Genomic DNA, 12,359 nt, shown 5'->3' on the forward strand with positions numbered 1-12,359 from the left:
AACATACAAAAGTATAAAGCTGTAAATTAAAATCATCCATAATAAAAATGGCTTAATACTATTAACCATTGTTAACATTGTTGTATATTTTCCAGACTTTCTATGTGTTTCCATTGGCTTTCTCCTTCTCTCTCTCTCTCCATACTTATTCTATGTATATATGTGACTTTTTCACATGGGCACCAAAGTGGCATTGCATTAGACGTCACTATTTACATAGTCAATAGCAGAAACACCTTCTTGAACCTAGAGGCTCATAAGCACCTTTCCTTAAGAACCATTGTGTGATGCTTTGGCCAGGGGAACAAATCCGGGTGATGATACTGCACTCAGTTCATGGTGCTACCTTCTTTTCCTCCTCCCCAACAGCTGTGTCTGTTATTGAATTAAGTGTGGGTTTTCCCGAGGTGGTTTCCAAGTCTCTCAATGAAAATCACTTTACAGCAGGCCCACACCACTGGTTCAATCAATTCAAACTCATATGTATGAATTATAATGGAAAACATGGTATAACTATCTTTATCAAATTATACTTGAGTTTGCAAAGTGACCTATTAGTTGGTGATAAAAAATAGGATTTTGAACTTTTATCACAGAGTGAAGAGCTTTTGAATATTTGTGAATTTTAGACTTCTGTTTAGATTATCTTTGAGAAGTTTTGCTGTTCTGGCCATATGCTGGCTCTTACTTGCTGTGCCTAATCACTATATCTTCCTTCTTTTCCTAGCATCGTCTATGTGTCTTTCCTTCCTAACATCTTTTATCCCCTCATTAATTTTTCTACTAGCTGTTGAGGAATGCCAGATTTCTGGGGTTTTTGTTTGTTTGTTTGTTTGTTTTGAGATGGTGTCTCGCTCTGTCTCCCAGGCTGGAGTGCAGTGGCTCGATCCTGGCTCACTGAAACATCCACCTCCTGGGTTCAAGCAATTCTCCTGCCTCAGCCTCCCAAGTAGCTGGGATTACAGGCCCATGCCACCATGCCCAGCTAATTTTTATACATTTTTAGTAGAGACGGGGTTTCACCATGTTGGACAGGCTGGTCTCAACCTCCTGACCTTGTGATCCACCTGCCTCAGGCTCCCAAAGTGCTGGGATTACAGGCATGAGCCACCGCCCTCGGCCTAAATGCCAGATTTCTTAAACCAACATCATTGTATCTACATGGGATAAGTAACAACTGGGTCACAGAAAATAAGGCTACCTTTGTTCCTTTTTTCTTCTTTCTCTACAAATAACCTTGAAACTAGAGTTGAACAACTTAATAATTAGTTTAAGTGAAATAAAACATTTCATAGTTGTGTAAAGGGAGCTGGTTTTCTGTCTCCTATATTTCAGCCTGAAGATCATTTTTCAGACCCCTCTTATTCCAATGTTCTCATATTTATCAAAGGCCTAGCAACATTAAACGGGCACTAGATCTTTAATTCTTTGTCCTCCTATGCCATTAGTATTCTTTTTATGATTTGACTTCAGAGCTGAAGGCTCTAATACCACTCCTCCATTGTATCGAATTTCTGAAACATAGGCAGACAGACAGACACATACCCACTCACATTTAATAGCAGAGCTGTGTCAGGAATCACGTTTTCTTGCTTCTTATCTCATATAATATTCATCCCTCCCTTCATTCTTGAGGGCTTTTTGAGTATCTCCATTGCTCCAGGCCCTCAGCTGAGTGTGAGGGATACAAAGAAGACCCAGTCTCTGGAAGGGGAGATGGACAATGCTTAATTCTGTTTGAGGAGTCAAAGGCTAGTAGAGCAAGTGATGCTTGATGTGGAGTTTCTCTCACTTAGTCTTCTTTCAAACACGTTCATAAATAGATTTCACAGGAAGATAGGGTTTTACCACACAAACCCTCTAGGGTTGGATGTTTTAGAAAGAGGAAACAGCATGTGCAAAAGCACAACGACATTGTAACATTCTTATGGGAACCATGAACACTTGGGTTTTGTTTCAATATAGGTGCAAGGTAGAGGGGGATGGTGGAAGATGAAGTTGAAGATCCAGGAAAGGGTGAACTAGTGGGTCCTGAGGAATGGCTTGGACTTTGTGGTTGATGGGCACCATTAAAGAGTTTAGAAAGGGTATTGATAACTCAGACTTAAATGTTATAAATATTACATTGCTGGTAGGGGGAGTGGTGGGTGAATTCTTGAGAAGAGGTGTGAAGTTAGAGGCAGTTGGAAACCTATCTGAAATTTTCAGGTGATGGATGGAGAGAAGATGTCAGAGCTGGGGTATGTTAAGGAAGCAGTCTGTTCAGGACATGAAGATAGTGAGAGGAAGAAAGTTCAGATGACTCTTGGGTTTCTTTCTCAGGAGAACAGGTGGACGGTGGTGTTATTAGCCACTAGACTAGAGGAAGAACCAGACAAGAAAAAGAGTTGGGAATGAAAGAGAAAGAGAGAAAAGCTGTTGAAGTCTCATGAGCACTGAGGACTGTTTGTTCTCCCAATTGGAAATGGGTCTAAAATACTGGCTTTAAGACACATAGGCTGCGTGCAGTGGTTCACAACTGTAATCCCAGCACTTTGGGAGGCTGAGGTGGGAGGATTACTTGAACTCAGGAGTTTGAGATCAGCCTGGGTAACATAGTGAGATTCTGTCTCTATAAAAAATAAAAATAAAAATAGCCCAGCATGATGGTGTGTATCTGTAGTCCCAGCTACTAGGGAGGCTGAAGCAGGAGGATTGCTTGAGCCCTGGATGTCAAGGCTGCAGTGAGCCATGATTGCACCACTGTACTCCAGCTTGGATGAGAGAGTGACACCCTGTCTCAAAAAAAAAAAAAAGACACATAATATACATTTGAAAGATAGTTATCCAGCCCTGAGGAACTGTTTATAATAACAGAGTAAAATGATAAAGGCACACTATTGGACTAAGAGTCAAGAGATTGTTTGATTTTTGCAGTAATAAGCTGCTGTCAGATATTCATTACATCTAAATCTAAACTCCGTGAATGCAAGGGCTGTTTCTGTCCTGTCTACTTCTGTGTCATTGCCATGAAATAGGTTCTCAACAAAAATTTATTGGATGAATTATTGAATGACTAGTTAGGTTTGTCTACTTAGCTAAGAAGCTGTGGTTTCATTGAAGAATCTCACAGAATGCACAACACAAGGATATTGTCAATAAAACTGCTTCCTTTATCCCATTCCCTTGTTAATTAACTTCAACAAATGCTTATCATCTTCCTTTTGTGACTCCAGTTTGGTACCATTTTCTTTGAAATATTGAAAAACCTGAAGAGACTGCTTGCTTAATGCTTAATGGATCTTGGAAGTGTGGTAGTGTTAATTTGTATATGTTTTAGTCTTTCCAATTAGATTTTTTTTTTTTTTAGTTGGAGTTTCACTCTTGTTGCCCAGGCTGGAGTGCAGTGGCGCAATCTTGGCTCACTGCAACCTCCGCCTCCCCAGTTCAAGTGATTCTCCTGCCTCAGCCTCCCAAGTAGCTAGGACTACAGGCACCTGCCACCATGCCTGGCTAACTTTTGAATTTTTAGTAGAGATGGGGTTTCACCATGTTGGTCATGCTGGTCTTGAACTCCTGACCTCAGGTGATTCGTCCACCTCAGCCTCCCAAAGTACTGGGATTACAGGTGTGGGCCACCATGCCCGGCCTAGTCTTTCCAATTAGATTTCTTAAAGTACACATTTCCAAATGTGTCTTATTCTTTTGAATCCCTATTTCCTTTGGACAATGGTGAGATTTTAAAACACATAGAATGTTTAAGACACGCCCATATGCAAAAGTCTTTTGCAAACTAAAATGAACGTGTATTTCTGATATTATTTGTAAGCAGTAATGCATTAAGTCTGACTAGCCTCCAATTTGTGGAAATAAGGTTTATATGAGAAAGCTCTGAGTCATAGATTTGAAACTGATTAATAGACTGTTCCTAGATTATAAAATCATTATAAAGCCAATGACTGTATGACCTTCAAGTAGCTTGTTAAGTCAGTAAATTCTGTGAAAAAGAAAACCTAATAGTCAAACTATTTATGGGCAGTCATGTAGATTAAACTATTGGTTTTACTGCTATGCAGAGATACCACTTTTAATTCGATAATCAGAATTAATTAGGTGATTATGTGCTGGCTAACTGCTAATGTATTTTATTTGAAATTGTTAAATATATTTTGGTTGTCGTAATTGAATTTTATGAGTAGAAATTAAAACTTAGTCAAATGTCTATGTAAAATCATCTGGATGATTTGTGTGTGTGTACTTGTGTTATTTACTTATACTTACAATTGTCTGTTTTTTAAAAATTTATTGAGCCTTTAGTTTTCCTACAGATATTTGGAAAACACAGGGTTTACCACCTTGTTATTAATGATATTACAGTCTGGAGGGGTTATCAAACATCTGAACAGGCAATTATAACTCAGTTTGATGGGGCTAACACAGAGAGTGCAAGGAAGAGGCAATCAACTCAACTTTGGGAGTCCAGGGAATGCTTGCTTCCCATAAGGAGGAACATCTAAGAGGAGTCCTAGGGGACAAGTTATCCAGGTGTATTAGTCAGAGTTCTCTAGAGGGATGGGACTAATAGGACAGATGTATACATGATAGGGAGTTCATTAAGAAGCATTGACTCACATGATCACAAGGTGAAGTCCCACAATAGGCCTTCTGCAAGCTGAAGAGCAAGGAAGCCAGTCCAAGTCTCAAAACCTCAAAAGTATGGAAGCTGACAGTGCAGCCTTCAGTCTGTGGCTGAAGGCCCAAGAGCCCCTGGCAAGCCACTGGTGTAGGTCCAAGAGTCCAAAACCTGAAGAACATGGCATCCAATGTTTGAGGGCAGGAAGCATCTAGCACGGGAGAAAGATGGAGGCCAGAAGACTTAGCCAGTCTAGTCCTTCCATGTTCCTTTGCCTGCTTTTATCCTAGCCATGATGGCAGCTGATTAGATGGTGCTGGCAGCTGATTGAGGGTGGGTCTGCCTCTCCTAGTCCACTGACTCAAATGTCAATCTCCTTTGGCAATACCCTCACCAACATACCCAGGAACAATATTTTGCATCCTTCAAGCCAATCAAGTTGACTCTCAATATTAACCATCAATCAGGCCAAGGGAGGAAATGGCTTCATGAAGATGCAGAGACCCTTCAGGAGATCCATAAGCAGTTCGTCGTGAATGGAGTAGAAATTAAGGAAGGGAAAATGGGAATTAAGGCCAGAGAAATAAACTGGGGTTGGTCATGAAGGCCCTTATTTGTTAAACTAGTCAACCTGGGCTGCATGGTTCTGTATAGGTGCTGTATTGGGTTTTGTTTAAATATAGGTGCAAGGTAAGGGGAATAGTGGAGGATGGAGTTGAAGATCCAGGAAAGGGTGATTTTGTGGGTTTCAAGGAGATTTTTTTTTTCAGTTGTATAGACTAGATTTAGAAACAGTGGTCACTGTTGACCTTGAAGAGAACAGTTTGTGTGTATGGAGGACTGGGAGTGGAAACCAGACTGTGTAGCAGGTTGAAGAGTGAATAAAAAATGATGGAGTAAAGACAGTGGTTGTTGTCAAGTCCAGAAGTTGTTTGATTTATGAAATATTTAAGGTTGGTATGTCATGAAATGTTCAGAATTAGGTATGGAACTATAGGTTGACTATAATAACAAATGATAGGTCTACCATCATACACAATAGTTTGTATTAGTTTCTTGTCATTTGTTAATTTTAATCGTTTTTCTAACTGCATGAGAATGGAGGATGCTGACCTGAAATAAATAAGCTCAGAGTCAGAGTTTATGGACCACTTCTGAAGAAGATGTAAATCTCTCTCTTAATGTATGCCACTTTTATTTTCCAAGACTATTATTTAAAAAATTAGGTGATAAAAATGTTTCTTCCAAAATCAAGTATCTTTTTATGATCAAGGCTAATGTCTTTTATTTAAGAATTATAATGCATATGAGATTAAATAAGTTTCCATGAAGTTCTGTCTCATAGTGACTAATTGAGGGAACTTAAAAGTAGATTATAGTCACAGCGATAAACAAAATAAGTCATAGAAATGTAACTGTTGAAAGTAGACTACTCATTTCATGCAAGAATTTTTGACATTATAAAAGATACTGGCTGTAGAATTTCTTTGGCTCTTTTATACATGTAAAATTATTTGATTAACAACAATTCCACTTTCATAATATTATGCAAAGCAGCCTACCTGTGCTGCAGGTTCTATGTTGTCTACCTTTCAATACAAATTATCTTTTTTCAGGTTATAAGCATTAAAAAATGCAACTAATAGATGATGCTTCTAATGTGAAAACTGCTGTTGGGGTGGATTTATCATGAAGTTAATGAAACTTCAAGGCCCCTTACTTGTATGTACCTAATTTTGTATTTCTAATTTCTAAGGCCTTGCACCTAATTTTGTATTTATAATCTCTTATTCTTTTTCTTAAAGAGGGCCTCCAGGCCGGGCGCGGTGGCTCACACCTGTAATCCCAGCACTTTGGGCGGCCGAGGTGGGTGGATCACGAGGTCAGGAGATCGAGAGCATCCTGGCTAACACAGTGAAACCCCGTCTCTACTAAAGATACAAAATATTAGCCAGGAGTGGTGGTGGGTGCCTGTAGTCCCAGCTACTCGGGAGGCTGAGGCAGAAGAATGGCGTGAACCTGGGAGGCAGAGCTTGCAGTGAGCCGAGATCGCGCCACTGCACTCCAGCCTGGGAGACAGAGCGAGACTCCGTCTCAAAAAAAACAAAAACAAAAACAAAACCAAAAAAAAAACAAAGAAAGAGGGCCTCCAAATTGCATATGCTTCAAACCCATAAAAACCTAGGTTTGCCCTGATTTCTTCATAACAGACAATGCCTAGAGAATCTCAGGTAATTATTTAATGCTTCTACTTTGAACTTTATTAAGAAAACAGACGTAGACTGCTGAAGGGAGAAACATATTTAAGTTTTCAACAGGTGCTAACCAGTAGAGAATATTCTTGAAAACCAAGAAAGGAAGAAATTCCTATAACTAATTTATTTTATTGTTGCATAGCTTTGTTATCTGGGAAGATCCCACAATTTTTGAGGCTCACTGTTTGCTAGGCATCAGTTAATCACAGCAATGCTATGAGGTGGGACCTTCTACTATCTGCACTATGCAGGCAAGGAAGCTGAGGCCTGTAGACTGAGACTCTGAGCCTGCCTGTTAAGAATGTGTTCAACTTTGCTGTGTACGATATTATTCAAATGGTCAATATACACTGTTAAAATGGTCAGCGTTGTCTGTTTGATACCTGAAGAAACTTAACTTCACGGAGACTGGACCTAAAGTCAAGTGCCTCTGGTCAGAGGGAACTATTAGAGGCCATGGCTGGCTCAGGGCACGTCCATGACCACACAGGAAAAGGGACTCCAGGCATACTTCTCTTTAAGAGTGAGCCATCTGTGGCATTATTGGCATATATGAATGACAATTTATTACCTTGGCACATTTTAGATTACTTTTTTGTACCAGAAGGTTTTTGTTGTTTTCCACCTAAGAGGGCATCAGACAACCCAAAAATCCACTGGTTGTCCATAATCAGAATCTTGTTAGTAGATTTGAATGATTACCAAGAAATGAACTTTTTAAGAAAGGAAGGGTCCAGACAAAATAAAATGAAAGAAATGGGGCCAAATTAACTATGGTAATGGGAAAAAGAAACATAAAACATTCAATAAAAATCCCCTTGAGTAGTTTTTTTATATGACCCAGCTACCTGTTGTCACACAAACAGCCTAAGACTGATTTTGTCACTGAAATACTCAGTGTGAGGAGGGCTTGTGGTAGACATAACCAGCATAGGAATCTCATTTATTCTAAAGCCATCCATGAGTAGCTGAAGAACCGCTCATCCCATTTTTTGCCTAGCCATCAAAGTGTTTATATTGCCTAAATGGAGTCGTGTTATTCTATAGAACCAAGGGTATGTTTAGTTGAATCCTCGTGTGGTGATTGTATTTTCAGGCTGGTCCCTGGTCTTCAGAATGCTTTCTAGAAGCCTGGAAAGGGTTTGTTGTTTGTTACAGGCCTTTTCCAGACTGCTAAACTACCTCCTCCCAGTTTCTCCCAGCAATAGTTTTATTTTTAAAGAGCACTCGATACTCCAAGTACAGTTCATTTTTACATTTCAAATTTGAGCTCTGATTTTTAGAAAAAAATAAAAAGTCAACATCCGGGGTCAGGCAAAATCTACTTAGTTTTAGTAAGATCTTTCTTTTAAGTAGGTTTAGTTGATTTTGTCTTTTTTCCTTTTCTTTTCTGATTATACAATTTTTTTGAGAAGTTTGGTAGGATATTGGTTTGAAACCAGTAAATTTTTGAGGGCACTCTATAATGTTATTCTATAATACTTTTTTAGGTCTTTGTATTTGGTAAATAACCAGAAAAAAAGTCTTCTGTTAGAAATTTACCAAATCATTTTATAGCTGAAAGAATGGCTTCTGAATGTTATATTTACCCTAAATAGCTGACAGATTTATCCCTCCAATAACCTCCCACTCCTGTCCCCTAATCCCCTACCTTCTAATTTTGCCTTAGCTAGTCATGGATAAATAACAGTTCGTGATGGCCCTTGGGAACTGTGGGATGCTCTCAGCTGGAATTTAAATTTCTACAAGCAATAATCTCAATTTGTCAGATTTTGGGATCCTAGCCATGTGTACTTCGCATTATTCAATCACCATTCAAAGTCATATCTGTAGGAAAGAACAGGTCTCAACCACATAAATTCAGTCTCTGAATAAAAAACCATACTCATACTCATCACTCATACTTACTCATATACATGGTTGGTCTGATTTCTATTTCATTAATTACTAGGTTGAATGCCTTTTCATATATTTACTTGTATAGCTGTAATTTTTAAGGATGATCTTTTTCAGTGTTTCGCCTATTTTCCTATTGAATCTATTTGTAGAATTTTCAAAAGTAACAACTCTTTATTAGACATTATATAAAAATTTTTCAGTTTTTCATTTGTCTTGATGTTTGTAATATTTTTATATACAGCTTAAACTTTTAACATTTACCTTAAAATTAAATATATCAATTATACAAAAGACTGTATAAATAACATACATATACTCTTTGAATAATAATAAAACAAGTAACCCTATACTCACTTCCCAGGTTAGGAGTCGTACATTTTCAAAACTTTGAAGCCTGTATGAACTCCTATTATATCACATTTCCTGTTCTCTCCAGAGATAATGGATGTTTTGAATTTTGTTCTTATTGTCTTTGTAGTTTTAGAAACCACATACAGATAATTCCTAAACAATGTATTATTTAATTTTATTCATTTTTGAACTATATGTAACTAGACTCATATCTTACAAATTCTTTTGCGACTTCTTTTTTTTTTTGGGAAATTCATTACCCTTTCAGTATCATCCATGTTGATGCATGCTTTTAATGCATGCACGTTATTATACTCTATGGTCATATCACTATTCATTCTGTTGTTTCCGTTTTTTTCCTATTACAAAAATGCAACAATAAACTTTCTTACACATATGTGCAAAAGATGTATTCCTGGATTAGAATTGCTGGCTCATAAGATATGCATATTTTCTTCTTTAAAAATAGCCAAATTGTTTTCCAAAGGGCTTGTATCATTTTATACTTACACCAACAGTTTTTAAGAGTTCTTGTTGTTTCACGTTATTGTTAATGTTTGATATTTTCAGACTTTAAAATCAGTGGTGGCTGTAAAATGGTGGTTTTACTTTGCATTCCTCTGATTACTGATTAGGCGAGCATCTTTTTCATCTATTTATTGGTCCTCTGAGAAATGCCTTTTCACGTCTTTGGACCGACCACTTTGTTATTGGGTTGTTTGTTTTTCCCTTTTCTTTTCTGATTCCAAGGTATTCTTCATAAATTCTGGATACTAATCCTAAGTCAGTTTTATGTGTGAAAAAGGCCGGGAGAGAGTCGCTCTCGGAGGCACTTCCTCCTTCTCTGCTGTGCTCCCAGGAGTTGGTTATTTCAGATGATTTACTGTAATATATCAGCAGTTAATATGAAAGCTCTATAGCTGGAGGTCTTAAATTACAGCATCTGTGATTATCAATTAAAGCGAGATTTGTATAAATTTGGTAAACCAGAAATGCCTCATTGGCATATAAACCCAGTCAATGACCATGGTCTAATATCATCTGGCCAGGCCTGGTGGCTCACACCTGTAATCCCAGCATTTTGGGAGACCAAAGTAGGAGGATCACTTGAGCCTAGGAGATTTAGACCAGTCTGGGCAACATAAAAATATCTCTACAAAAATTTGAAAATTAGCTGGGTGTGGTCCCTGCTACTCGGAAGGCTGAAGTTAGAGAATCACTTGAGCCTGGGAAGTTGAAGCTGCAATGAGCTGTGATCACTCCCACTGCACTTCAGACTGGGCAACAGAGCAAGACTCTCTCTCTCTCTCTCTCTGTCTCACACACACACACACACACACACACACACACACACACACACACACACACACCCCGCCCCCCCGCCACAGAAAATGCCATCTCTCAGTTTGTGACTTATTTTTTCCATTTCCTTTGATATCTTTTGATGTTGTTCTTTAATTTATCAAGCTTTACTTCATGAGTTGTGCTTTTGATTTCTTGTTTAAAGCCTTTTTCCACCCTGAGGATATAAAGATATTCTTCTGTTTATTCCTGAAAGATGTAAAATTTTGTCTTTCACATTTATTTATTTCATACTATTTAATTGCTGTTACACATCTGCAATTTTTGTACATGGTTTCACATGCTGTGGTAGCTGTATTATTGATCCCAATTTGTCACCCCTCCCTGTAACCATATCCTCTGGCATGCAGTTTCAAGTTTCTCCTGTAAAGTTAGATGATACTTCTCCAGCTCTTGGCTTTAGTCACATGGCTTTTTTTGGCCAAGAGAATGAGAAGAAAGACATGAGTTCTGAGCCTAGGCCTTAAGAGGCCTAGTGTGTTTCTGCTTCTTCCATTGCTCAGAGAAGAACATGTCTGAGCTAGTCCACTAGGCCCAAGAGGTGAGCTACACCAGCCACACAGCCTAAGCTGAGCCCAGTTGACTTCAACTGAATACCAGGTCACTTGTAGAGTTTTCTGTGATAATAAACCGTTGCTGCTTTAAACCACTGAGTTTGAGGTGGTTTGTTTTGTAACAATAGTTAACTGATACAGGTATTGATCCAATTTCATTTTTTCCTGTATAAAAACGAATTGTCTCTCTTATCATTATATAGCAATGACTTGAGTCTTTTGGTTTTCTTTTGGTTAGTATTTGTCTGATATGTTCTTTTTTAAAAAAATGTTTTATTTCCATAGGTTTTTGGGGGAACAGTTGGTATTTGGTTACAGGAGTAAGTTCTTTAGTGGTGATTTGTGAGATTTTGGTGCACCCATCACCGGAGCAGTATACACTGAACTTAATTTGTAGTCTTTTTTTTTTTTTTTTTTTTTTTTGAGATGGAGTCTTGCTCTGTCACCCAGGCTGGAGTGCAGTGGCACTATCTTGGCTCACTGCAAGTTCTGCCTCCTGGGTTCACGCCATTCTCCTGCCTCAGCCTCCCAAGTAGCTGAAACTACAGGCGCCCACCACCATGCCCGGCCAACTTTTTCTATTTTTTTAGTAGAGACAGGGTTTCACCGTGTTAGCCAGGATGGTCTCGATCTCCTGACCTTGTGATCTGCCTGCCTTGGCCTCCCAAAGTGCTGGGATTACAGGTGTGAGCCACTGCACCTGGCCAGTTTGTAGTCTTTTATTCCTCATGTCTGGTATGTTCTTTGAAGGAGAGTGTTCAGTCATTTTCATTTACAGTGATTATTGTTGCTTTTGAATTTATCGCTACCATCTTAATTTTCATTTTCTCTTTGCCTTATTTTTTTTCCTTCTTTCAGATTGGTTTGTTATTATGCTGTTTCTTCCATTCTACTTTTTCCTCTTCTAGTTTTTAGTTGTACCTACTGTTTCTATTAATTTTGTGGTTATCTTAAAAATTTTATTATGCATATTTAGCTTAAAAATCTTCAAAGGACATCGCTATCTTCAGGACCTTAGAACACTTTAACTTTGATAACCATTTCCTTTACTATTATTTTATATTTGTTCTATCTTTCTAAAATCCCACAATTTAGACATTGTTATCATTGCAGTGAATTTTTATTGACTTCATCCACATGTTTAGTATATTTTCTCTTGGTATTTCCTTCTGAATTTCATATCTTTCTTTGTTCTATAGTGTTTCCATTAGAAGTTCCTTTAGAAAGGATACGTGGGTGGTAAACTCCATTTTTGCTTGTCTGAAAATGTCTTCATGATGCTTATCTTGAAAGATACTTCTGTTGGGTATAAGATTCCAAATTGAG

The sequence above is a fragment of the Homo sapiens genome, chromosome 2, assembly GCF_000001405.40.
Source record: "Homo sapiens chromosome 2, GRCh38.p14 Primary Assembly".
Classification (NCBI taxonomy): Eukaryota; Metazoa; Chordata; class Mammalia; order Primates; family Hominidae; genus Homo; species Homo sapiens.